This window comes from Homo sapiens, chromosome 1, assembly GCF_000001405.40.
Source record: "Homo sapiens chromosome 1, GRCh38.p14 Primary Assembly".
NCBI lineage: Eukaryota > Metazoa > Chordata > Mammalia > Primates > Hominidae > Homo > Homo sapiens.
Genome location: NC_000001.11, coordinates 22,160,654 through 22,188,503, shown reverse-complemented (window position 1 = coordinate 22,188,503; position 27,850 = coordinate 22,160,654). Strand labels below are relative to the sequence as shown.

Below are 27,850 nucleotides of genomic sequence, written 5' to 3'. Positions count from 1 at the left end.
TGAAGGAAGAACTGGAGGGGGTGCCTGGAGTCCAGGGTTAGGGGCAGGCAGAGGGATCCTGATAGACTCTGAAGGTCATTACAGAATAATGTTCTGTCCAGAATGTTCTGGACTGAAGGCTGGGGAGTCCTCAGGCGGTAGCTGGTAGCTGAGGCCATGGTAGACAAGACTGTCAAGAAAGAGCATGTGGGGAGAGGCATAGGCAGCAGGGAAGGGAAGGAGGAGAGTGAGCGCCAGAGCAGAGAGTGGAGGCGCAGAGCAGGCACAGCTCCTGAGGCCACACACAGGAAGACAAGGATCCAGAAGGTCTGGCCACCGCATATCCCCCCTTAGCACAGCCTGGACACAAGGCAGGTGCTCAACAAATGTTCGGGTTTTTAAAAATCCTTTAAATGGAAAGATTAAGAAAACCCAGGAGAGGCCGGGCATGGTGGCTCATGCCTGTAATCCCAGCACTTTAGGAGGCTGAGGTGGGGAGATCACTTGAGGTCAGGAGTTCAAGACTATCCTGGCCAACACGGCGAAACCCCGTCTCTACTAAAAATACAAAAATTAGTCGGGCATGGTGGCGCATGCCTGTAGTCCCAGCTACTCAGGAGGCTGAGGCAGAAGAATCACTGGAACCTGGGAGGCGGAAGTTGCAGTGAGCCGAGATCGCACCACTGCACTCCAGCCTGGGTGATGGAGCAAGACTCCGTCTCAAAAAAAAAAAAAAGAAGGAAAACCCAGGAGAGGTGGAGGAAAGTAAAGCCTAGGAGAAAAGCGGACTGTGAGGAGGAGGGGCAACCCCCAGCATCAAGGCTACTAAGAGGTCAGAACCACTGGGTTCTGCTCACAGAGGTCCTGGTCACCGTGGAAGGATGCGGGATGGGGAGACGGACCTCAGGACTAAGGGGCGACTGGCAAGTGCAGACATGGAAAGAGTGAGTGCGGAAAACTCTAGACCTTTTGATGAAAAATAGACAAGGAAGAGGAAGGAGAATGGAGTGGAAGAGAAGGGGCTGGAGGAAGGGGAGGGGAGAGGGAAAGGAGAGGCAGAGGAAGAACAGTGGCTAGAAGGGCAATGTGAGCCAGGGAAGGATTTAAACCCTAAACTGGGTATGTGGTGAGTGATCTCAGGTGAGTCAAGTCACCTGCTGAGCCTCATTTTCCCAAGCGTAAAATGAAGGGAAATAGCCCCCACCTGAAAAGTTACTGGGAGCATCCAGCGTTACCTATACAAAGCATCTAGCACAGTGCCTGGCAGGCCACAGGTCCCCAGAGAATGTGTCCTTGTCATCCTCTCGCCAGAGCCCTATGCCACCTCAAGAGTAGCAGGACACTCATTATCAAAGCATTATCCCCATTTTACACATGAAAAACTGAGTCACAGACTTGTCTCTACCTTCTCAGCCCCGCCACCCCCCACCCCAAACACACAGGGCAGCATCTGTTCCTCACTGGTGTGGGAAAGGTGAATGTGGCCCAGGGCCTGGCATGAGAAACATTTGTTGATTGAATGAATGAGACAGCCAGGCACAGTGGCTCACACCTGTGATCCCAGCACTTTGGGAGGCCAAGATGGGAAGATCACCTGAGCCCAGGAGTTTGAGACTAGCCTGGGCAACATAACGAGAACCCCGACTCTACAAAAAAATAAATAAATAAAAATTAGCCAGGTGAGGCCAGGCATGGTGGTTCACGCCTGTAATCCCAGAACTTTGGGAAGCCAAGGGCAGGTTGATCACTTGAGGTCAAGAGTTGGAGACCAGCCTGGCCAACATGGTGAAACTCCATCTCTACTAAAAATACAAAAAAATGTAACTGGGCGTGGTGGCACATGCCTGTAGTCCCAGCTACTCAGGTGGCTGGGACAGGAGAATCACTTGAACCCGGGAGGGGGAGGGTGCAGTGAGCCAAGATGCACCCCTGCACTCCAGCCTGGGCAACAGAGCAAGACTCCATCTCAAAAAGAGAAAAAAATTAGCCAAGTGTGGTGGAGCGTGTCTGTAGTCCCAGCTACTCAGAAGGCTGAGGCGGGAGAATCACTTGAGCTGGGGAAGTTGAAGCTGCAGTGAGCCATGATTACCCCACTGCACTCCAAGCCTGGGTGACAGAACAAGACCTTGTCTCCAAAAAAAAGAACGAATGGGACAGACATAGAAACCAGGGAAAGCCTGCCCTGGCCTGGTGGCCACAGCGTCGCAAAATAAAAAGAGCCTGGAAGGTAATCAGTCAGAGCCAGGAATTTGGGTCTTGGAGGCCCATCAGAGTCAGCCATATGAGCCACAGGAAACACCTGGTTCAGGGATTCTCACACTGGAGTGTCTGGTTAGGTTCACCCGGAGAACTTGTGTCCTGGGCCCCACCCTAGACCCACTGAATCAAGTATAAGGGGGCAGGAGTCCAGGAATCTGCACTTTCTACCCGGCACTCAGGTGTTGCTGATGCCAGTGGCCTGTGGGTCATGCCCCTATTTTATAGAGAAGAGGACCACCTATGAGATCACATGGCAAAGCCCTACAGGGCCTGACCGATCACCTGGGGATCCAGGCTGCAAGCCACTGTCACTTCTGGTGCCTGCAGGTGCCCTGGGAGTGGTAGGCAAGGAAAGGAACCACAGCAGGGAAGAAAGATGAGAAAAGGCAGGATAATGGCTCCCATCTAATACACACCAGTACTAGGTGCCTATGTTCACGTCATCAGCCCCCCTTCAAAACTATATGGTGAGTTTTATTATTACGTCCATTTTTCAGGTGAGGTGAATAGTGTTCAAGAGGTAAAGCGGATTGCCAAAAACCTCACCACTGGTAGGTGGCAGGATGTGAAACCTGGTCTGTCTGGGGTGCTAGAGCTGACTTCCTTAACCACCTGGCACACTGCTTCCCGGAGAAGCAAGGAGAAGAGGAAGAAGGAGGAGAGGAGAGAAAAGGAGAGGGCCCCAGTGGAGGGAGGAGGTGGGGCCTGCATGGAGAGGGGACGGTGTGCCCTCATTGCCCACCCAGGTGGCTGAGCCAGGCTGGCTGCTCAGGGCGGAGAGTGCCTGCCTGTCCCGGTGCCCTGCGGTTGCCATGCCGACCCCCAGGCTGTGTTTGCGGATGTTGTATTTGATTTCACACGTTTGGAACTCCGATTACGTCATTTCGCAACACAGGGTTGCCATGACAGCCGGCCCCATGTTCCCTGGGTAGCTCACACCTTGGGGGAAAGGGAGGGGCCCGGGCCTCTCCCCCAACCAAACCTCAACCCTGAGCCCCCTCGGGGAGAGAGGCCAGGAATGTGGGGTTGGGAAGCACCTTGGGATCAATCAACGTCTACATTTGGGGAAACCAAGGTCTGGGTGGTGAGCCAGCTCCCCAGGCAACGCACCGCCTGTTGATGGAGGCTTTGCACACCTGGCTGCACACGGCTGAGGGCCTGACAACTGGCACCCAGCGACCAGCCTGGCCATCTGCCCTGACTGGCTCTCTGGGGCCTCAAAGTAGCTGCTGTCCTGGTCCATATGTGACTTTCCACAAACTCACAAGTGTCTGGGCCAGTGTGGGGGCGGGCTGGTTGGCTGAGAACACCAGCTTTGGCGTCAGACTTAGGTGCAAATGGTGGCCTCACACTAACCAAGCGTGCACCCTGGAACCTCGCTGAGCTTCCGCTTCCACATCTGAAAATGATGATGAAGGTACTTATCCCTTCAGGTGGCTGGGAAGAGTCACCTTAGCACACAGCGACCTAGCACAAAGTAGATACAATCAATAGTGAGAGTTGGGGCTTCTTCTATTTTCTTTCTTTCTTCTTTCTTTCTTTCTTTTTTTTTTTTTTTTAAGCTGAGTTCTGGCTTTTGTTTTGCCACCAGCCTGCACTGTGTGACTGTGGGCCACTGACCTTCCCTCTCTGGTCCTCTCAACTAGTAATAATGTGATAATCTTTCTCCACTTCTCACTTCCCTACCATTAAACTCTCCACCCCTTGTCCCTAAATTACAATTATTTAGCATCTTATATCCTGGCTTCCATCTATTGGGTAATGTCAAACAGAAGGGCTTCTGGACTTAGTCTGGAAACCTCAGTCTAATGTCACTAAGTCCCAGCTTCTTCTCTACAAGCTGCTAAAGAGACATATACATAGACATGCTTCTGTATCTATTCTGACACCTGTCCATCTGTGTGTTTATATGTACACATATATATAGATAAATCACAGATTCATACAGAGAGGTATTTGTGATTTCAGTTCAACCTCAGAAGGTCCCTTTATTTTTGAGATGGAGTCTCGCTCTGTAGCCCAGGCTGGAATGCAGTGACACAATCTCAGCTCACTGCAACCTGTGCCTCCCAGGTTCAAGCAATTCTGCCTCAGCCTCCTAAGTAGTTGGGATTACAGGTATACGCCACCACACCCAGCTAATTTTTGTATTTTTAGTAGAGATGAGGTTTCACTATGTTGGCCAGGCTGGTCTTGAACTCCTGACCTCAGGTGATCCACCAGCCTTGGCCTCCCAAAGTGTTGGTATTACAGGAGCCACCGTGCCCAGCCACAGAAGGTCCCTTCTTATTATACCTCTCCACTTTCCTTTTTCTTTGCATTCTTTTTAATTAATACTATTTTTAATTGGCATCTCATGATTGTATACATTTATGGTCAGGGGTCCCGTCTATCTGTAAATTGGGACTGGCCATTCTTCTCCACCTCTATGTTATGAAGCTCCCAGGGTAGATGACCAAGCCTCTCAAAAGGACACAGGACTTTTCATCAGCTATCCTGTCACAGCTATCCTTGCAAAGGATCTGCCCACAGAAATCCAAGAGACGGGAAACTAGTTAAATGCCCATTTGGGGCCAGGTCAGGTGGCTCATGCCTGTAATCCCAGCATTTTGGGAGGCAGAGGGAGGAGGACTGCTTGAGTCTAGGAGTTCAAGACCAGCCTGGGGAACCAAGTGAGCCCTCATCTCTACAAAAAAAAAAAAAAAAAATCAAAAAATTAGCCAGCAGGATGGCACGTGCCTGAGATCCCAGCTACATGGAAGGTTACATGGGAGGAGGATGGCTTGAGCCCCCCAGAGCCTCAGGGAGGAGTATCCTTGAAGAGATCACATGGCTCCTCCCAGGTAGCCTCCCAGGTAGAAAGGTCAATGCTGCAGTGAGCTATGGTAGTGCCACTGCACTTCAGCCTGGGTGACAGAGCAAGACTCTGTCTCTGTTTTTCACAAAATAAATAAATAAATAAATACCCATTCTGTAGATGTCGAAAATAAAATGAGAACCAGAGAGGGTACAGGAGTTGCCCACGATCTTAGCAACTGGTGAATGGTAACTCTAATCCTTTCTGCCAAACGCACACCCTCAAACACCGTCCCGGAAAATGTGAGGAGTTACTCCCAATAAGGAGGGCCGTACCCCTGGGCAGCCGTCACAGGTCACAGCTGAGGGCTTCCTGGGATGACCACAGAGACCTGCCCACTGCCCCTGCTGCCGCCCAGCGCCCTGCCCCGCCCCCACCACCCTGGATGCTTCCCCAGACCCGGAGCCAGGACCAACATGAGCTGTTTTCCCTTGATGCCGCCTCCAACTTGCATGTGCTCGAGTTTACTGGAAAAATCAAACACTGCCACATGTGCACAGACATGCACTGGGCGGGGGCCATTCAGCCCAGTCCAACCCAGCACGTCTTTCTGGGGCTCAGCTTTGGCCCGGAGCAGAGCACAAGTTTGGGAGTCTGACTGGCCTGGGTTCGAGCCCTCACTCTTCTACTGTGATGCTTTGTGATCCCAGTCCCTTAACCCTCTTAGCTGCAGCTTCCTCAAACGTAACATGGAAATGACAACGCTCACTTCAGAGTTGTCAGATGAACGACAGGACACAGCAGGCTCGAGAGTGCCTGGCACAAATTTGCCCACTGAGTGTCCGCTCCTGCCCTTCCTCCAGGGAACAGAACTGAGGCCACAGTCCTTACAACAAAGGAGCTTTTTTTTTTTTTAGACGGAGTTTCAATCTTGTCACCCAGGCTGGAGTGCCATGGCATGATCTCAGTTTACTGCAACCTCCGCCTCCCCAGTTCAGGTGAATCTAACCAAGGAGGCTTTTTATGAGCTCGTCCGAGAGCCAAGACTAATCTTCATGAGAGAATTGAAGATAAGACAGGGGAACAATCAAGTGCTAACATGGTGCTTCCGATGGGTTGCAAGAGATTGTGAGCTCAGAGGAGGCGGATGTCATTGTAGGCTGGAAGAAGGCAGGAAGGACTTCCTGAAAGAAAAGGAGAGAAGTTGAAGGAGTTCCCAGAGACAGCCATGCAAGCAAATCATTGCAGAACAGCCAGATGTGTGCAGTAACAGATACAGCTGGAAAGAAACAGCGTAAGGAGAGAAAAGACAGCTTTGTGAGAGCATCACAGAGAAGTCTTTGGACTTCTAGAGACTTAGAGGATGAATGGGCTGGACACAGGAGAGAAGGCAGAGATGTCATGTAGCGGTGTCAGGAGAGAAGGCAGAGATGAGCATGTAGGTGGAGAGAAAGGCACAGGGGTGTGAAACAGCCCAGAGCACTGGAGGAATGACTGAGCCAAAAAGAGGGAGGTGGCTGGGAAGACAGGCAGGGGGCAGATCAGGGAGGGTCTTGAATGCCAGGCTAAGAGGCTTAGAATTAATGCCATAGGCCATGGGGAACCATGGAGGGTTCCATGGAAAGAAATGACACGAACAGATTTGAGGTTTAGAAAAGCACTCTGATGAAGAGGGAGTTAGGCTATGGATGGTGAGAGTGAAATTGGAGGCAGGAAACCCAGAAAGAAGGTTCTCCATTGGTCCCACTGAGAGTCAACTACTATGAAAGAGAAAAGGAATGAATTTGAGATCATTTAGAAAGTAAAATTGCAGCCAGGCACGGTTGTTCATCACCGTAATCCCAGCATTTTGGGAGGCCAAGGCAGGCAGATCACCTGAGGTCAGGAGTTGAGACCAGCCTGGCCAACATGATGAAACCCTGTCTCTACTAAAAAAAAAAAAAAAAAAAAAAAAATACAAAATTAGCTGGGCATGATGGTGGGCACCTGTAATCCCAGCTACTTGGGAGGTTGAGGCAGAAGAATTGCTTGAACCCAGGAGGCAGATGTTGCAGTGAGTCGAGATCACACCACTGCACTCCAGCCTGGGCAACAGAGTGAGAATCCTTCTCAAAAAAAAAAAAAAAAAAAAAAAGGAGTTCTAGACCAGCCAGGCCAACATGAAAAAACCCCGTCTCTACTAAAAATACAAAAATTAGCTAATTAGCTGGGCATGGTGGCGGGCACCTGTAGTCCCAGCTACTCAGGAGCTGAGGCATTAACAATCACCCAAACCCCGGAGGCGGAGGTTGTAGTGAGCTGAGATCGTGCCATTGCACTCCAGCCCGGGCAACAGAGTGAGTGAGACTCCATCACAAGGAAAAAAAAAAAAAAGTAAAATTGCTAGATCTTGTTTTAATTGTTGTAAAATAAAATTTACCATTTTAACCTTTTTAAGTGTACAGTTCCTGCAGCAGCAAGTACATTCCCATTGTGCAACCATCACAGCACCCACCTCCAGAACGTTTTCACAGCTGAAACTCTGTACAAATTAAATGCGAACTCCGCAACCCCTGGTAATACCATTCCGCTTCATCTCTATGAATTTGACTACTCTAGGTACCTTGTGTAAGTGGAATCATACAGTATTTGCCTTTTTGCGTCTGGCTTATTTCACCCAGCACAGACAGTGTCTTTAGGGTTCATCCATCATGCGACATGTGTCAGAATTTTCTTCCTTCTTCTTTTTTTTTTTTTCTGTGTGTGTGTGTGAAACAGAGTCTCGCTCTGTCACCCAGGCTAGACTGCAGTGGCGTGATCTCGGCTTACTGCAACCTCCGCCTCCCAGGTTCAAGCGATTCTCCTGCCTCAGCCTCCCAAGTAGCTGGGACTACAGGTGCCCGCCACCACGCCCGGCTAATTTTTTGTATTTTTAGTAGAGACAGGGTTTCACCATGTTAGCCAGGATGGTCTCGATCTCCTGACCTCGTGATCCGCCCGCCTCGGCCTCCCAAAGTGCTGGGATTACAGGCAGAATTTCCTTCCTTCTTAAGGCCGAAGAGTATCTCATTGTATGTGGATACCACATTTTGTTTATCTGTTCAGCCATTGATGGACACTTGGGTTACTTCTCCTTTTTGGCTATTGTGTGCTGCTGTGAACATGATTGTACAAATATCTTTCTGAGCCCTGATTTCACTTTTTTGGGGGTATATGCCCAGAAGTGGAATTGCTGGATCATATGGTAATTTTACGTTTGATTTTTTAAGGAACCTCCACACTGTAGCCCACAGTGGCTGACCACTTCACATTCCCACCAGCAATGCACAAAATTCCAGTTCCTCCACATCCTCACCAACACTTGTTATTTTCTTTTTTTTTTTTTTTATAATAGCCAATCTAGTGGGTGTGACATGGTCAATCGCTAGATCTTAATGAATGATTGTATGTGAGGAGTTGAGGGGATAAAAGAGTAAGGAAAAGGGAGGGAATGACTCCTGGGTTTGCAACAGGCCAACTGGGTGGTAGAAGATTCATCAGCTGAGTTGGGGTCTCTGGAAGGAGAAACAGGCACCAGGAAGAATTTGGGGTCGATTGAGCTTGAGGATACTATAGGACATCCTGGCTGAATATTCTGGTCTGGAGGCCTGGGAGAGTCTGTGCTGAAGATTCAAAGTCACCTGCATCTGATATGAAGAAGCCACAAGCAAGAACAAGACTGCTTAGGAAATAGGAGATGCAGGAAAAAAGGGGGGCCCAGAACAGAAAACTGGGAGTCCCCATGTTTTATTAGAGGGACAATGAAGGTACCCACAAACAGAAATGGGAAGGTCAACCCAAGAGGTAAGAGGAAAACCAGGAAACACAGTTCCAAAATTGCGTAATAATCTAGGATTGGATTCTGCTACAAGCAGCAGAGAACACAAATCAGTGGCTTGATCAAGACACAGGTTCAGTTCTCTCCTTTGGGAAAGAAATGCAGAGGTAGGCAGCCCACTGTCTTCAGAGCCTGGGGCCCTTTCTCTCTTGCTCAGCTATTCTTAGCTCTGATTTCCATCTTCAAGGTCACCTCATGGTCACAAGATTGCTGCTGCAGCTCTAGCCATCACAGTCATGTTCCAGCAGCAAAAAGGAGGAATAAGCCAGAGCAGAAGACTTGCCTCCTAGCTGAGTGTTCCTGGAGGCCCTTTTCCACCCCGCCCCCTCTGGTTTTCACTTCCACCTCATTGGCCACTCCCAGCTACAAGGAAGGTTGATAAATGTGGTCCTTTAGCAGAGCACATTGTACTCCTGAATAAAATCTAGGCTCTGTTAGTAAAGAAGCAGAGGAGAATGGCCATAGGGGAGGCTCTAACACAGAGAGAGAAGAAGTTTCCAGAAGGAAAAAATGGTAGACGCATTGGCTAAGGCATAAAGGGTTAACCATTGGACTTGGCAACGAGATCATGGGCAGCATCCCTCTGCTGGCTGATCGGGGAGGGGAGATGGAGTTGGCAGTGGCCTGAAGCATGCAGGGGAGAAATGAAGACATGTTCACTGACCACGATTGGGAAATCCCAGGCCAAGGGAAGATCTTGGTGCCCAGAGAGAAGATGCAGGATCAAGAGTGGTTTGGGGTCCTTTACCTTGAGATGTGAGGATTTAGCCATGATAGAAGCTAAGAGGGCTGAGCCAGAGAAGGAAGGAGAAGGAAGGGATGGGGGAGGGTGGGGAGGACTGCAGGTGTGAGGCCCCAGAGGAGATGGTGGGGAACAGGATCCAGAAGACAGTGGCAGGGGCAGCCGGGCCCCAGGCAGGAGCCCTCAACTGGGGTTTCAGAGGACAGCAGGCGAAGAGGGAGTGGAGGGGCCACTGTTGGGTGGGTGGGTGGGTGGAGAAGGCAAGCCAAGGATGTGCCCGCCAAGGGCCTGGGGACCTGCATGACATAGGGGTGACAGCAGCAGAGAAGGGGCAGGTGGGGCCAGTCAAGACTAGGAGTGTCGGGAAACAGTTGGAGCCAGGGAGGCCTGGGGGAGAGAAGAGAGTGCTCCACCGGCCAGGCCTTTCAGGGGGCTGCACAGGAGGTCTCAGGGCAGGTGTAGTGTGCTCGGGGCCCGGGGGGTGGGAAGTGGTCACCATCAGAGAGTGGGGCTCAGCATTTAGCGTTTCGGGGAGGGTGGTCCTGAGGGATGATAAGGCCCAGGGTGGCAAGGTGGTGGGCCTGTGGAGGAGGGAGTCCCTGGAGATAAGAAGGTCCAGGAAGTGGCAGCCAGGGGGCTAGACAGGTCATCCATGATGTCACTAACATCACCCAGGATGGTGATGGGATGGGTGGAAGGAAAGAGCATGAGCCAAGACTTCAAGGAATGCAGAAGGTGTCGGGGAGGTCAGCAGGGGACGGCAACGAAGAAGACCCCAGCCTGGCAGAGTGTGACAGGGACAGAGGAGTGTCCCCAAGGAAAGCAGGGTCCTGGGCAGGCAGGGGGTGCGGGGGAGCCATGGGCAGGCTGAGGGGGTCACAGAGAGGCCTGTGAGCTATGAGGACATCCAAGACCTGTACCTGGGACCAAAGGCTTGGGCGAGGACAGACGGTGCTGGAAAGGAAGGCAAAGAAGTAAGAGGGTGAGAGAAGATCGAATGTTCAGGGCAGACTTGGTTATCCCATTTTAGAGATGAGAAAATGGAGGCCCAGAGAGGAGAAGAGATTCACCCAGGGTCACACGGGGAGTGAGGAACTTGAGCAGGCCCCAGGCTCTGGCCACACAAGCCTGCACGGGTGCCTTCCCCTCTCCAGGCCACAGTTTCCCCATCTGTAAAAGGAGATCAGTGGGTGTGGTGGCTGGACCTTAGCTGTGACCCATGAAGATTTGGTGATGACATAAGTTTTTGGAGTGAGAGATCCCCTTCCCTGGCCCTGCCCTTTTAACTGAGTCATCTCCAAAAAGGTAGACTTTCCAAATTCCCCCAACCCTGTGTTGGGTCCTCAGGGGGCTGAGTCACAGGGAAAGTCGAGACTGGGAGGCAGGTGGTGATTGATGCACATGAGGTTGGGTTGCCTCCAGGACGGGTACCTACGTGCCCTCTTTCCCAAGAGCCTGCCTCTCACCCACCTCGGTCACCCACCTGGGTTGATCTGATCACAGCAAACCCTCTGCAGTGAACAAATGGCAGATGCTTATTCTCTCCTTTTCCACCTTTGTCCCTATCCACTCCTGTCCATCTTCTGCATGCTGCTGGAGCCATCTTCCCACGGCCACCTTGCTCCTTGTCCCTCCCCTGCTCTGAAGTCTTCCAGGGCTCCCCATCACCTATAGAAAGTCAAGTCCATCATCTAGCATGCCAGGCCCTTCATGCTGCAGCCCCACGGCCCTCTTCAGCAACACCATGTGGTGCTCCATGCCAACTTCGTGCCAGGCCTTGGGTCATGCCATTCCCCCACCCACCCCCTTCCAATGAGGATGGCCTTTTGTCTCTGCCAATCCAAATTGCACAAATGTAAAACCATAACCCCAATGTCCCCATGTCCTCTGGGCTCACCCTGTTCTTAGTTTCAACCAATAATTATAATTAATAAAATAGTCCAAAACCCCACACTCTGTACTGCAGGGTCTCCAATGCCCTTCTCAACACTGCTGAGGTCTCCCAAGCAGGACTTCTGTGTCCCTTCACCGCTAGCTCTACCGTTGACCTGAGGCACATCCCCCCTGCACCCTGCTGCCTCCCAGCCTCTCTCTGCTCCCTAACGCTTCATTCCCCAAGCCCCCCACCCCACCCACACACAAGGCTGGGTGTGCAACAGACTCTACTGAAGGTTTGGGGAAAGAGAGAGACTTCAGGACCTAACCAGCAGCAATACCAAACTGAATATTCCTAGACCCTCCCAGCCAGCCCGCTCTATGCCCCCTTGCCCCTGAGCACCCCCTCTGCTGAGGAACCCTGGCCCATCTCCACTCTGCTCCATGTCCCTAGGGCCTGCCAAAGTCCCACTCTCCAGCTGCCAGCACCTGCTCCTCACCTCACAGGGCCACGTCCTTCACTTTGCTCGGGAGGTGCAGGGGGAGACACCTGCCCTCTACGAAACAAAAAGGGCCTCTGAAGGGGATTTCCCGAAGCAAAAGTGCAGCCTCCTCCTGTTCCAGCCCCACCTCAAGCAGGGAGCAGCTGCCTTCAGTCCTTTATTTAAGTAACACTAGGGTTTTTTTTAAGTGTTTTTTTCTTACAATGTGGAATGTTACAGAGGTGGGACCATCAATTCCAATGTCATCACTTAACAGAGGTTGACTGAGACCCAGGGGTCAGGATCCCACCCAAAGAAAGCTCAGCAATTTAGTGCCCTGCCTGGGGCAGAACCTAGTTCTCTGACTCCAGATCTGGGGCATCTGTATTCCCCACAATGCCTGCTCTTCCACATCCAGAACAAGGAGGGGAGGTGGTGAGGAGGAACTGATATTTACTGAGCACCTACTATGTGCCGGGCACAGTGCTAAGCATTTTCTATGCATCATGTCATTTAATCCTCACATCGACCCTTAATGTAGGAACTGCTGTTATCCCCCTTTTACAATGAGCAAACTGACCTCCAAAGAGGAAGCCCTAGTCAGTTGTCCAGCGTCCCTCAGCTTGGTTGGAATTACAACCAAGGCCAACTCTTTAAGGAATTAACCCGGTTTGGTCCGAGGCAGGGTTCTTATTCTTCATAACAGTAAAAGCAAACATTTGTGGACTCTTTGACAGGCAGCAGACTCAAAATCTCACAGGATTTATAGTGTTTAATCTTCACAGTCATTCCAGAAAGCATGTAGGATTATTCCCATTTTACAGATGAGGAAACCAAGGCTCAGAGAAGTAAGGTGACCTGCCAAGCTCTCACAGGTGATGAGTGGCAAAGATATATTCAAGCCTAGATTCATCCAGTCCAAGCCGCTCTCCCCACTCCTCTCCCCAGGAACCCCCCTCATCCCTTCCTGCTGGGAAGGCCAGGCGCGGCCACAAAGGCCAGCCCCCATGCCTGCCAACTGCCTCTTGCCAGCTTTGGGGCCTCCTTTTTTCCCCACTTACGAATTCACTTCTGGGCACCTGAGGACCCTTCAGTTTGGAAGGTGGTTCTGCTCATGGTGCCAGCATAGCAGATGTAGTCCCTCCATCCCCGCTCCCAAGTCTCAACAGAAAGGATTAGATGTGGAGCTAGGAAGCCCCCGGGGCAAAGTCCCAGCTGCTAGGCCCAGGCAACTCCTGGAGCTGGACAATGAGTGCCACTCAGGGACTGAATCAGCTGATCCAAAATAGGGCACTACCCTTCCTCCAGGCACTATCACCACTACCCTGGTAATACCATTCTGCCTCGTCTCTATGAATTTGACTACTCTAGGTACCTCATGTAAGAGGAAATCATACAGTATTTGTCTTTTTGCATCTGGCTTATTTCACCCAGCATACTATCTTCTAGGTTCATCCATGATGCAGCGTGTATCAGAATTTCCTTCCTTCTCAAGGCTGAAGAGTATCTCTTTGTATGTGGAAACCACATTTTGTTTATCTGTTTCCTCCCTGTTGGTGCCCTGGCTCTCAGTTCTGGGCGGCTACAGCTGGAGAGACATGGGTGCCTCTGTCTCAAGAGTTGGGAGTGGACATTTGCGATTTGAGGGGTGTCTCCCTTAGAGCTGCTTGATTGCAAACAGAATCGATTTGACTTCCTGGTGCTCAAGGGGCATTTACTGGGAGGCAGTGGAGAGCTCACAGTGTGGAGAGGAGGCTGGAAAACCATGTTCAGACTCAAGTCCAGGACAAGGAGCGCTTGGGTCTGTCCTAGCAGCCCCAGTAGCATCTCATCATGTCCCATGGGCTCTGACGCAACCAAACAATGAGCAGGTTGGCTTAGGCAGGTCACATGATCCACCTCTAAGAGGGAGGAGCCTCGCCCATAACAGGTGGACTAAGAGTAGGCAGGGAAGGATCTCAGGGTTCCTGGATCCTGGATCCTGCATGGTCAAACCCAACCAACTGCCTCAACAGAGGGCCTCAGACGTTTCTGGCATCTGTCTAGACTTGAGGCTTCTCAGGCTTGCTTCTGTGCTTCTTCCATCATACTAAGAGTTCCCCCTAGACCAGGGAGGGTGATGTTTCCACACACAGAAGGAAGGCAGGAGAGAGGGATGGAAGAAGGGAGAGGGAGGGAGGAGGAAGGTGAGCTTTTAAAGCACCAATGATGAGTTTAACTTAGTGCTGAGCTCTTTCACATAAGTTATCCCTGCAAATAAGGAAAGGGAATCCTAGCAGAGCAAACAAACTGTGAGAAGGCATGGAGGTGTGAGACAGCGGGATCGCCGGGTGGTCCAGGGCTGGAGGGGGCAAGGAAGACAGGGCAGGGGAGGAAACTGGAGGTAGGGGCAAGGACCTGATAAACAAGAGCCTGGAACACTAGGCTAAGAAGCTGGGTTCTCACTGAAGACTGGGCAGCCACTGAGGCTTGGCCTGGCCTCTGCCTCCCCAGTGCAGCCCAGGATCTAGCCACCTGCTAGCTACCCAGCCCACCCCACAGAATGGGGCCCTCCTGGGAAATGTGCCTGGCTGAGCCCAGGAAGCCCTTCCAGAAAACTTCCCGGCATCCAAGTTCAGACCCTCCATTTGGTAAGGCCTTCATCTGGGCCCAGCCTATGCCACCCTCTACCAGGGCCAAACAGACAAGCAACAAAAGACACAGGCCCAGCGGCCACCTGGCCAGCCTGTCTGCAGAGGGGCAGGAAGGGGAGCTCTTAGCAGAAATAAAAACACAACAATGGTAATTTTTTTCTGAGATGGAGTCTTGCTCTGTCCCCCAGGCTGGAGTGCAATGGCGCGATCTCCGCTCACTGCAACCTCTGCCTCCCAGGTTCAAGCGATTCTCCTGCCTCAGCCTCCAAAGTGGCTGGGACTACAGGCATGCACCACTAGACCTGGCTAATTTTTTTTTGTATTTTTAGTTGAGACGGGGTTTCACCATGTCTGCCAGGCTGGTCTCGATCTCCTGACCTCGTGATTCGCCCACCTCAGCCTCCCAAAGTGCTGGGATTACAGGCATGAGCCACTGCACCTGGCACAACAATGGTAATTTTTAAACTACTTTTATGAGGCTAAAAATGAGCTGGAAAACAAAATAATCACTACTTCCAAGCTAGATAAAAACATACAATTTTGTTCTTATTTAGTTATCTCAACTAAAATGATGCTTGGCCTGGTGGCCAGAGATTCGTTATATGATTGGATCAGCGTGTTGACGATTGCCAGCTGCAGATCTCTCTACAACTGAGCTGCTCAAATGCCACTGTCCCTGTAGATCATCCTCCCTTGGGCAGGTCTGTCCAAGGTGCCTGCTGACCTATGCCACCAAGGTATACACAGCCGTGACCCGTGAGGGCAGGGCAGTAAAGCCTTGGGTTGTGGAGTCAGTAGGATCTGAGTGGGGATTGAGAGAGCAGCCTTACATATCTAGAGGTCAGTCGGTCAATGGCCAAGGAACAACCTGGACTTAAACCCCAGATGCATTTCAAAGCCATGAAACCTTGGCCAAGTCACTTCACCTCTCGGAGCCTCAACTTCCTCTTCTGTGAAATGGAGATAATAACAACGACCCCTCAGAACTGTGAAATTAAGAAATCAGATGCAAAGGTGTTTAGTCCAGTGAGATCCACATAGTAAGCCCACAGAAAACGGCCACTTTCCTTGGTCTACCCCACTGGGCTGGTTGAACGCTTTCTCTTGCCCATTGCCCACATCTCTATCCCAGCCCTATCTCTGAACCAGCCCTGTCTCCGAAGTGCCCCCAGCCCTATCTCCAAAGCGTGCAGGAAGATAGCACTCCTTTATAAGGCATCTACAAGAAGCCGGGCTCACTGGGTGGGTCTGGGCCAACCTCAGATGCAGATGCTTCCTGGGACTATCCTGGAGCCCACGGGCATGAGGTGTGAAGGCTGCCGCCGGGTGATAACCTGCCCTGAGTCACCGCAACAGACAAAGCCTGACGCCTCCCCATGCAACAGCCCCACCACCAGGTGAGGCCTGTTTATCTGCAATATCTTGATCGGCCAAGCCAGCGCCCCAGGGCCAGTAGGGCATTTGGTGAAAACCCAAGTCTGAACCTGCCAGGCCTTGTGCGCTGGGCTCCACTCCCTGGGCAGGACCACATGGGACGGTTCATCAACCGGTGTCTGAAGGCAGCAGCGCCGCTGGCCCCCACTCTCTCCGTTCTGTCCATAGCTCCAGGCTGCTTCCTGTAATGGCCAGGTCTCTGCTCCAAGCCCTCACCTGCCAGAGGGTGCACACTCCTGGGCCACAGGTCAGATGCTGGCTGGAGAGGGGTTCTGCAGGTAAATGCACGGAGTCTGGAGCCAGACTGCCTGGGGATGCATCTTGATCTGGAACTTGCTAGTAATGTGACCTTGAGCAAGTAACACAGCCTCTCCACGCCCCGGTTTCCTCACCTGCAGAGTAGAGAGAATAGTCACCTACCTTGTAGATTCATGGTGTGGATAAGGAGCTGAGAAACAGCTCATCATAAACACTCCCCAGTTTTGCCTCTTTTAAAAGTCGAGGCAACGTTTAAAAATAAGATTCCCACTTTGGGAGGCCAAGGCGGGAGGATCACGAGGTCAGGGGATCGAGACCATCCTGGCTAACACAGTGAAACCCCGTCTCTACTAAAAAAAAAAAAATACAAAAAAATTAAGTGGGCGTGGTGGCGGGCACCTGTAGTCCCAGCTACTCGGGAGGCTGAGGCAGGAGAATGGCGTGAACCTGGGAGGCGGAGCTTGCAGTGAGCCGAGATCGCGCCACTGCACTCCAGCCTGGGCAACAGAGCGAGACTCCATCTCAAAAAAATAAAAATAAAAATAATAAAAAAATAAAGATTCCACAGAGAAATCTCAGTTTCTGGCTTTTCTTGAAAAAAATCAAAAACTTTGGAAAGACAAGTTCCTGCAAGGCACCGACTGGCATTCCTTGTGGATCAGTCGTTCTCAGTCCCAGCTGTATCTTAGAATCCAATTAGAATCACTGGGCAAACCGGGGACAGTGCCTCACACCCGTAATCCCAGCACTTTGGGAGGCTGAGGCAAGAGGATCGTTTGAGTCCAGGAAGTTGAGGCTGCAGTGTGCTCTGATCACACCACAGCGCTCCAGCCTGGGCAACAGAGCAAGAATCTGTCTAAAAAAGAAAGAAAAGAAAAAGAATCACCTGAGCGGATATTAGAATATTTTGCTGAGCCCCACTCTGGACCTATGAAGTCAGAAACTCTGGGCACGGGGTCCAGGCAGACTACATTGTCAAAGCATCCCTGATGATTCCGGTGGGTAGCCAGGGTTTAGGGCCACTGCTTTAGGTAGACTTTTCAGCTGCCCACAGTGACATTTGCCCTTTATCATTACACTGTGGCTTCTTTTAATTAGCACTTATTGGATCCCTACTCTTGTAAAAATGGGAAATAGAAGCCAGACCCAGAAGGTCATGGGGTCTTCCTTATACTTGAAAGACTCAGCTCATTCCAGTGCCTGCCTGGTCGCCAAAAGCAGCAGCCTGTGACCGTGGTCTCCGCCTCCTCTTTGGCCAAGCCCCATCCATATGTTGCTTCAAGACAGAGAACCCCCAAGTCCTCATCTCTAATCTAACCTCCTCTTTCTGAACACATCAGAAACTCTTGCTTCTCAGTGCCTTCACCTCCAATGCCTCTCCTGACTTCTTCCCTAACAAACTTCATTTTTTTTTTTTAAGAGACGGAGTTTTGCTCTGTCGCCCAGGTTGGAGTGCAGTGGCTCAATCCTGGCTCACTGCAACCTCCATCTCCCAGGTTCAAGCAATTCTCCTGCCTCAGCCTCCTGAGTAGCTGGGACTACAGGCACATGCCATCACTCCCCACTAATTTTTGTATTTTTTAAAATAGAGATGGGGTTTCATCACGTTGGCTAGGCTGGTCTCGAACGCCTGACCTCAAGTGATCGGCCCACCTTGGCCTCCCAAAGTGCTGGGATTACCGGCGTGAGCCACCGTGCCCGGCCCTAGCAAACTCATATTCATCTGTCATGGCTCCACTTGAGGACCACCTCCTCCAGGAAGCCCTTCTCAACCTGCCAGGCAGAGTTGGAATCTTTCTCCTTGTCCCAGGAGCATCTCGTGCATCTCGTGATGCTTCACGCTGAGACACAGGATTCATTCCTTAGAGGTCTGCTCCCCACAAGATTGGGAGCTTTTCAAGAATGGAGTCACCTGTGGAGGCCCAAGGCCTAGTTTAGGACCCAGACATAATCAGGAGTTCAGTGAGCATCAGTTCAACTTCCACATGGCCACCAGTCCTCCGTGGGCCCTCTCAGGCAGAATCTAAAAGAAACCACAGAAGAAACTTCCCTCTCATTCAAATCTCCAGTCCCTACAAAAGGTAGCCCCTAAAGCTTTGCAAAGTGAAGTCAAGGTCAGGCCACCCAGTCATTCCCATGGCTTCTCATTGGCTCTGATTGTGTCATTCCCCCCATCCCGGAGCCAATCACTGTGGCCAGGGAAATCCAGCGCTCAGATTGGCCAGATCTGAGTCAAATGCCACCTCTGGAGTCAGTGAAAGGAGCTAATCCCCCAGAACTCTCTTTGAGTGTTGTCTTGGAAGGAGGGAAAGTGGGTCTTGGCAGGCATGAAGGATGGAGTGTCACTATGGTCCTGAAAGACACGCCCTCTGCTCATCACACCCCCACAGCTGTGGTTCTAACATTTTCAAGAGAAGCACGCCTTCTCCATGCGAACATTTTCCCAGGTTGTACATTTTGTATTGCTTATATGAGAAATCACCTAATGATAATTTTTTAATGTGAATTCAGGAATTCTTCAGAACTGATTGGTATTTTAGTCATCACTTCAGCATCAATACCTACATGTGTGTTATGTATTCAGCCTGCAGACAATGCCGGAAGCACTATGAATATGAACAGGAGGACCGTTTCCACTCCTCTTGGCCTTCCCAAGAAAGCTCGTGGGAAATTGACAAGGCTTCTCAATGAACAACAGACCCCTCTCCCACCACGTCACAGCCCCTCAGCAGGTGTATCACTGAGGACTTTTTGGTTGCAACAACAGAAATGACCTTTGCTGACTTCAGCTAAAGGAAATATGTTGGAAGGCTACTGGGGGTTCACAGGACCCACAGGGGTCCTGTGGGTCCTTGGTCCTTGGGAACCAAGGATGCTCCAGAGGTGCAAGGACAGAAGGCACAGCATTGGGCTCGCGACCTGAATAGTATAGTGAGGATCCTGCCTAGGAAGGGACGGATCAGTCCCTTCAGCTCAAGATAGAGTGCCAGTGAGGAAGCTTCTGTTTAGCCTGCCTTTAGCTAAGGGAAAGTGAGACCCCTGAGATAATTCCAGCAAAGAAAAGCAGAATAGTGGCCTGCGGGAGAGTGGGTGTGGAAGCCAGGAGCAAGGAATACTCCCTACAGTGGTGACACACCCTTCAGGTGGCTCTGATTGGGATCCACCCTCCTCAATCAGGAGACTACTCACTTTGAGTATGACGGTCAATTATTTCACTATTAGAGTTGCCACCACCTTTTCTTTTCCCCCCCCTTTTTGGTTATTCTGGAAGCATTCACTTGGATTTTTCCCTGCTCTGGTTTTCTGTATGTTTCTATAATCTTTCGGCTCCTGGGTGGTCTGGTTTCCTACAGGCAGCAGAGTCAGCTGGTTCTCACAGAGTCCATGTGCTCATGGAGGAAATGTGGCCTGAGCCGATGTCGCCCCACCCACAGAGAGGAAGTGACAGCCACACAAGGTGGAGGGACGTATAGGCTGTATCCACAAGGGTGATTTTGGTTACAAGGAACAGAAAACCCAATTCAAACAGCCCTAAACAATAAAGGTGATTTATGGGCCCACATTATTGAAAGGTCCTTCAGGAAAGGCTTGATCCAGCAGCTAACCAGTGCCAGCAAGAGCCCAGTTATTTTTCTCTCACTTGGTCTGCCATTTTTAAGACTGGCTTCTTTTATAGGCACAAGACACTTGCCAGAAGTTCCCAAGACAAACATGTGACAGGTCTGGGTCATATGCCCAACCTTAAACCAATCACTGAAATGCACTTAATGACTTAGTTTTGCCCCTCCCTGGCATCAGAAGTGGAGACAGTCCCTGGAACTACATGGATCTCCAAACCAAGATCAAGGTTATCTGGGAAGGGGTAGATACTGGGCAACAACCCGCCCACACAGGTCCGCTGCCCTGGGCAGCAAGGGACATGGGAATTGGTGAATTAACCATCATCATTGCAGCTGCCTTCATGTACTGTATTAAGCATTTCACATGCATGAGTTATATGATTTAATGAACTGTCACAGAACCCTGGGACGTGGCCTGCTAATCCTATTTTGCAGATAAAGAAGCAGGTTAAATGAAGTGACATGAAGCATCATAGCTGGGGTGAGTCAGAGGCAGGACTTGAAGCCAGAACTATCAGACGCCAAAATCCATTTCCTTACCTCTACCTGCACCTTGCCTCTCGATTATGTGCAAGGCTCTGCTGGGGACACCAGGAAGAGGAGCACATTTACTCAAGAGGCCTTAACTGAGCACCTACTATGTACGTGTCAGGCATCCTGCCAGACTCATTGGGGTATAATCCCTACCTTTGGTGAGGTTCTTTTTTTTAGCGACAGGGTCTTGCTCTGTCACCCAGGCTAGAGTGCAGCGGCACAATCATGGCTCACTGCAGCCCCCAACTCCTGGGCTCAAGGGATCCTCCTGATCCTTCTGCCTCAGCCTTCCAAGTAGCTGGGACTACAACAGGCACGCACCACCATGCCTGGCTAATTTTTTGTAAAGAAGGAGTCTTGCTATGTTGCCTGGGGTGGTCTTGAACTCCTGGCCTCAAGTGATCCTCCTGCCTCGGCCTCCCAAAGTGCTGGGGTTATAGACATGAGCCCCCACGCCCAGCCTCTGTGATGTTCTTGATCTGGAAAGGAAACAGTCCCAAATCCACAATGACAACCCCACGGGAAGTACTATTTATTGTTGTGTTGTACATTGATGTCTTTGGGCACTTCCCAAGCATTATCTCACTGAACCCTTACAACAAGCTCTGGGAAATTGATTCCTGAGTTAACAGACAGACAATAAGATTAAGTGACTCCAGGTCATTCAGATGGTCGGGTAACCCAGTCTCACTTTCCAGGAGTCGAAGGGTCATTCAGGAAGGCTGGATCAGTGGGAAGACAGCCATGGCAGGTACAGGTCCACTGGGGATTGAAGGCCTGGAGGAAGGGAGGGGCACTGTAGATAGTGGTGGGCAGGGAAGGCTTCCTGGAGAACAAGTTTTGCTGAGCCATGGAAAACAAGAGTAGAAATTGAAGGTGCCCAGGCTGGCGCTGGTGCCAACCACCTCCTGCAGGTGCTCTGGGGAGCTGCCTTAGCAATATTCCCACCTCTGAGAATTCCTATCCCAGAATCTCCGGCAGGGAAACATGCTTGACTGTCTTGGTCGTGCTCAAACCCCAAGGCCAGCATGAGAGAATTCTAATCCTGGACTGAAGCTTGCAGGCCCCTACTCAGTACCAAGGCTTCATCTCAGCCTTGCAATCAACCTGCAAGGTGGGAATTGCAAACATCACTTTACAAGCAAGGACACTGAATGGTGGAGGGAGCCAGAGCTCAGAAGTCACCAGGCTCAGAGCACCAGGCTTAAGAACCAAGGATGCCACAGAGGTACAAAAACAGAAGGTGCACCACTGGGCTCAGGACCCAAATAATATAGTGAAGATCCTGCCTAGGATTCTACCTCCAGGCCTGACCACAGTCCCTGCTTGTCCTGAGACACTAAAATTCCCCAGGTGCATATACTGGGGATTTACCCAGCTTTGCATATCCTGGCTGTCAGAGGTAGAGGAGGCTGGTGTCCTTCCTGAGTCATCCTCCCCTAGGCTTTCCTCTGACCTGGGCTCCTGGCTGTGGACTTTCTAGAACCCTCAGGAAAACTCATTTGCCTTGGGAGTATCCTCAGCAGGGAGCTGGGTTCCCCAAGCCTCTCTAAACCCGCCACTCATTTCTTAGAGCCTTAATGGAGAAGATAAAGGCAGGGAAAGAGAACCATGGAGAAGAAGAATGTGTGTTTTAAAGACAGACAGGCCTGGGTTTGTACTGTATTAAGCATTTCACATGCATGAGTTACAGACTCAACCACTCACCTGCTGTGTGACCTTGGGAAGCCATCCCCTGTCTCTGAGCCTCAGCTTCCAGTGCTGTTAAATGAGGGGCAACAGGCCGGGCATGGTGGCTCACACCTGTAATTCCAACACTTTGGGAGGCTGAGGCAGGTGGATCACCTAAGGTCAGGAGTTCAAGACCAGCCTGACCAACATGGTGAAACCCTGTCTCTACTAAAACTACAAAAATTAGCTGGGTGTGGTGGCAGGTACCTGTAATCCCACCTACTCGGAAGGCTGAGGCAGGAGAATTGCTTGAACCAGGGAGGCGGAGGTTGCAGTGAGCCAAGACTGTGCCAGTGCACTCCAGCCTGGGTGACAAGAGCAAAACTCCATCTCAAAAAAAAAAAAAAAATGCGGGGCAATAATCCCCACTCCATAGGACTGGGGTCCTACAGAGCAAGCCAGAAATCTAGAAGCTGTCCTTTAAGTGTTTTTCTCTCCCTACCCCTTCCCCCATCCAATCAAGCACCAAGTCCTATTAATTTTACCTCCAAAATGTATCTCAAATTCATCCACCTCTTTCTGTCTCTGGTGTCATTTCCCTCCTTCTTGCCCTCTCCTGCCTGGGCTAGTACCATGGCCAACCAGCTGGTCTCTCAGCACCTGCTCATCCCCTCCATCCATTCTTCATAATACAGCCAGGGAGATCTCCACAGAACTTACACTCCATGACGCCACCCCCAGTTAAAACTCTCCTGTGGCTTCCTATTGCTCTCGAGGAAACTCCAAAATTGTTACTGTCACCTCCCCACAGAAGCCCAAATGGTCTGACCCTAGTTGTTCCTCACTTGTGCCCAACTTCATGGTAGTTCTGTTCCCTCTGCTTAAAACAATCTTCCCCATCCTAGGCCAGTTAACTCACTGATATGGTTTGGCTGTGTCCCCACCCAAATCTCATCTTGAATGGCAGCTCCCATAATTCCCATGTGTTGTGGGAGGCACCCGGTGGGAGACAATTGAATCATGGGGGCAGTTTCCCCCATACCGCTCTCGTGGTAGTGAATAAGTCTCATGAGATCTGAAGGTTTTATAAGGGGTTTCCCCTTTCGCTTGGCTCTCTCTCTCTTGTCTGCCACCACCCAAGACATGCCTTTTGCTTTCCACCGTGATTGTGAGGCCTCCTCAGCCTCACTACCCTCCACTCGTGTGGAACTGTGAATACATTAAACCTCTTTTTCTTTATAAATTACCCGGTCTCAGGTATGTCTTTATCAGCAGCGTGAAACAGACTGCTTATGATTCAAATCTCCATTCAAAGGCCACTTCCTCCACGAAGCCTTTCTTGATTTCTCAGACCCATATTTATTTTTTTTATGTATTTTGTTTGTTTTTGTTTTTGAGACAGAGTCTCACTGGGTAGCCCTGGCCGGAGTGCAGTGGTGCAATCTCAGCTCACTGCAACCTCTGCCTCCCGAGTTCAAGCGATTCTCCTGCATCAGCCTTCTGAGTAGGTGGGATTACAGGAGCCCACCACCATGCCTGGCTAATTTTTTTTTTTTTTTTTTTTGTATTTTTAGTAGAGATGGAGTTTCACCATGTTGGCCAGGCTGGTTTTGAACTCCTGACCTCAAGTGATCTGCCTACCTCAGCCTTCCAAAGTGCTAGGATTACAGGCATGAGCCACCACGCCCAGCCTGACCCACATTTATTGATTTCACCTCGTACTTCTTTGTAGCACCAGTCACAATGATAATTACATTAAGTATTGGTTAAATTGGTCCCTGAATGTCCATCTTCCCACTCATAGACACATTGCTTTTTGCCTCTTTCTCAGGATAACGATTTCACCCACATCCAATGGTGTCAAAAGTGGGTCTGGATTAAGCCCGGACGTACGGACGTTGATAGAGGGCAGAGGCGCTGCAGGGAGACTGGTGAGGGCAGCCACCTTCCCTGCACCATGGAGAATGCCCAGATGAGAATGAAGCCCCAGACAGAGAAAGCAGAAGCAGGAGGCAGAGAGAGCAGCTAAGGCCAAAAATGTTGTTTTGCCCTGAAGCCAGCACGTCTGAAAGTCTCCCAATTACATGATCCTCTCCCCGCTGCACTGTGTTTTGCTTTGCTTTGCTGAAGGTGGTTTCACCTCGCAATTCCAGACTGCAAGTGCCTCGAAGACAGAGCCTGTGTTTGTCTTCACTGCTGTACCCCAGGCCTAGTTCAGAGCCTGGATTGATCACTATTTGTGGGCTGAATAAATGAAATGGAAAGTAGACAGCCCGTGGTATGGGATCAGAAAGGACTCATGATTAATAAGAAACCAGACGCTGTCTTTCTCTCCCATCACACGGGAAGCAGCGGGCTCAACCAGAGCAGAAGCCTCCCTGGGGTCCTGTTGCCAGGACCCTGCTCCCTGGGGAGGAGACAATCCCAGCCCTCCCACATGGCCTGGCTTCTGTGTAGCCAGCATTCTAGGACAGAAGACGCCCTCTTGGGCCCTCCCGCTCATGGCCTCCACCTTGCTCTCACAACCCGAGGCCTCCCATTTCCTTCCTTCACTTCCCGGAATATTCCAGAGCTGACCTACCACCACCCATGGCACGCCCAAGTAGCCAAGGTGACTGTTTACCCTCTGCCCTTAGAAACCATCTCTGGCTGGTGGCAGCGGCCACCCCACACAGCTGCCCTCTGCCCACAGGCTGACTGAACAAGCAAAGGTGCTTCCTGCTAGGATTGGCACTGCCAGGCTGGGTTTCCCACCCCTCCCCAGCCCCTGCCCCCACTGCTCCTGGCCCACCCCAGCTCCCCACAGCCCCAGATGCCACACACCTCTGGTCAGTCTGGGAGCAAGGGGAGCCAGGAGCAGAACTCACCCCTTCCGGATCCTCTGGCCACACTGTCCAAGGTCCAGCAACACCCAGGTGGCACACGGGGACCGCTCCTGCCTTGGCAGCCAGAGAGGCCTGGGCCAACCCGCTCCCCTGCTACCTGCAGCTTCCTGACCTCAGGCAGTGGCTCCACCTCTCTGAACCGCAGTTACTGGACGTTACTCATGACGCAGTGACGCGGCAGCGTGAGGATGACAGCTGTAGCCACCCCGGGGGCTGCTCTGACAATGAAACTAGCGCAGTGCCGGCATGGGACTCAACACTGACTGACCGAGGGTGCTGTCAGGAGGGCCACCATTCCCTGAGGGGACACAGAGGTTCACCTTTGTTCTGAGGGGATACTGAGAGCTTCATCCCCTTCCTGAGGGGACACTGAGGGCTCCATCCCCTTCCTGAGAAGACACTGAGGGCTCCATCCCCTTCCTGGGGACACTGAGAGCTTCATCCCCTTCCTGAGGGGATGCTGAGGGCTTTATCCCGTTCCTGAGGGGATACTGAGGGCTTCATCCCCTACCTGGGGACAGTGAGGGCTCCATCCTCTTCTTGAGGGGACACTGAGAGCTTCATCCACTTTCTGAGGGGACACTGAGGGCTTCATTCCTTTCCTGAGGGGACACTGAGGGCTTCATCCCATTCCTGAGGGGAAACTGAGGGCTTCATCCCATTCCCGAGGGGACACTGAGGACTTCATCCCCTTCCCGAGGGATACTGAGGGCTCCATCCCCTTCTGAGAAGACACTGAGGGCTCCATCCCCTTCCTGCGGACACTGAGAGCTTCATCCCCTTCCCGAGGGACACTGAGGGCTCCATCCCCTTCCTGAGAAGACACTGAGGGACTCAGCCCTCTCCTGAGGGAACACTGAGGCCTCACCCCTTTCCCCAGGGCTGCTGGGCTGTGTGATCTCTGCCCCACCCAGTGGTGAGTCCTGAGTTTGGGGGCAGCCACCTGGTTGGAAGGGAGCCAGAGTATTGAAACTGACACTGCATGGCATAGTCAGACCATTTTTTAACTTGACTAGTGTTTATCTGGGGAGGCTCTGAGAGGTCTGATGGTGCTTATGGGGACCTGAAGGGCTCCCAAGTTGTGCCTCAGCACTGCTGACCACCTGGTGGCTCTCGTCCTATCTGACCTGAGACCTGTCCTTGCCCTCTTCAGGACAAGCTTCACAGCACAGCCATGCCCTCTTCTTGCATCACCCCTTCACCACTCCCATCAGCAGGTGCACCCATCCACATGATCTTTGCTAAGAAATGAGTTCCCCCAACCTGTGAGCACTGACTTTGGAGTCAAAAAAGCAAGGGGGTTCTTCTGGCTGTGTGGCCTTGCCTGAGTCACCTGACTCCTCTGAGCATCACAGGGCAGAGAACGCACTACCTACCGCTGGATGCCATGAGGATTAAACGTGGAAACTTAAGAAAGGTCTGGATTCAGCAGCAGGCCCTCAGTAAATGAGGAACATGCACAGGGGTATGGATTGAAGGTTTTCGTCCCCTCCCAAAATTCATGTGTTGAAAACTTATCCCCAATGCAACAGCACTGGAAGACGGGGCCTTTTGGGAGCTGTTTAGGTCATGAGGGCTCCACCCTCATGAATAGAGTGATGCTGTTATAAAAGAGTTTGCAGGAGTGTGGGTTCCCTCTCTACCGCTCTTCTGCCACATGAGGACACAGCAGGAAGGCCCTCGCCAGATGTCAACACCATGATCGTGGACTTCCCAGCCTCCAGAACTGTGAGCAATACATTTCTGTTCTTTATAAATTACCTAGTCTCAGCTATTTTGTTAGAGCAGTTTAAATGGACTAAGACACAAGCCAGGAAATAACACGTTTGCATTCTTCCCAGCCCTTCTCTTGCTTGCTTTCTAAGGGGGGTGCAGGCTTGAAGCAGAGAAGGCTGGGGAGAACCCAGGAGCGGGTGAGCCAGGCACCAGGCACGAGGCCCCAAGTGAGGCACTAGGGATACAACTGGAAATGAGACTCAGTTTTGCATACCCCCAGTAAGAGTATCAGGAAGGCCCCAGCTACACTCTGTCCTCTTTCTCTTCCCAACTGGGCCCAGTGTGTGGCCACTGCAGCCCACACATCCAAGCTCTGTCCATGTCCCCCAAACATAGGCTCCATGGCCACCTCCAGGCCTAGCAGCATAGTGGAGTCCACCCTCAGGAGAATGGGTCACAGGAAGGGAGCCACACAGGCCCCGGAGCAGGCTCAGGCCTTTGGAGCAGGCCATTCCAGCATCCAGAGTGTGCTCTACAAGCCGGGGTGGTCTGGGCTCTGGGTGGGCACCTACTCTTGGCCCCTTACCCTGTGGGACGGGGTGTGGGCCAGAAGTAACCATAGCCAGATCCAGGGTCAAAGCCTGGGCCCTGCTTGCCTTGATCTAGGGCAATTAGACACTGACTGAGTCCCTGTGCACTTAGAGTCGAACAGCAAGAACAGGCATTAAACAAAGAACTTGAAGAAGGTGAGATCCGTGATACAAACGCCAGTGGAGGGAGAGCCTGGCTTCCCCTGGGAGTGGAAGCGAATCCTCCAATGCCCCCAGCTGAGGCCCCTTCAAGTCCCTCCCAGCCCCCCAGACAGAGAGTTTAGGGAGCTGTGCCCACAGCTTAGCACCAGTCCTGCCACGCTCTGGGCTCTGAGTCCCAGGGTCCCTGGGGCAGTGTCTTCCAGCAGATGGCTTCCTGCCCAGTTGCAGATGCCTGCCCACCCCAGCCCAGGGATCCAGATGCTCGGCATGCAGTTAACAAGTGCGCTACCACATTCTCATGCACCTTGAAGTTGGAGAACCCCTGCTGGAGGGAGCACACCCTGTCTTTGCATTTGT

At 51.5% G+C, this 27,850-nt stretch overlaps 1 long non-coding RNA gene across 1 annotated transcript, besides 3 other annotated features; it reads right to left on the bottom strand.

The window, feature by feature from the left end:
- Positions 1-12,744: 12,744 nt before the first annotated feature.
- LOC105376850 (uncharacterized) lies at positions 12,745-25,161 on the bottom strand. Its single transcript, XR_947057.3, has 2 exons — positions 25,008-25,161; positions 12,745-16,449 (listed from the first exon to the last, which is right to left on the bottom strand). It is a non-coding gene; the product is annotated as an uncharacterized LOC105376850 (long non-coding RNA).
- Positions 15,573-16,072: an enhancer, noted in NCBI's record as "H3K4me1 hESC enhancer chr1:22498925-22499424 (GRCh37/hg19 assembly coordinates)". NCBI's record gives its function as "activates a minimal SCP1, AML or CMV promoter by ChIP-STARR-seq in naive H9 embryonic stem cells {active_cell/tissue: H9 hESC(naive)}" and the evidence as "EXISTENCE:reporter gene assay evidence [ECO:0000049][PMID:30033119]".
- Positions 21,699-21,748: an enhancer, noted in NCBI's record as "active region_351". NCBI's record gives its function as "activates an Ori minimal core promoter by ATAC-STARR-seq in GM12878 lymphoblastoid cells {active_cell/tissue: GM12878}" and the evidence as "EXISTENCE:reporter gene assay evidence [ECO:0000049][PMID:35858748]".
- Positions 23,221-23,320: an enhancer, noted in NCBI's record as "active region_350". NCBI's record gives its function as "activates an Ori minimal core promoter by ATAC-STARR-seq in GM12878 lymphoblastoid cells {active_cell/tissue: GM12878}" and the evidence as "EXISTENCE:reporter gene assay evidence [ECO:0000049][PMID:35858748]".
- Positions 25,162-27,850: the final 2,689 nt, after the last annotated feature.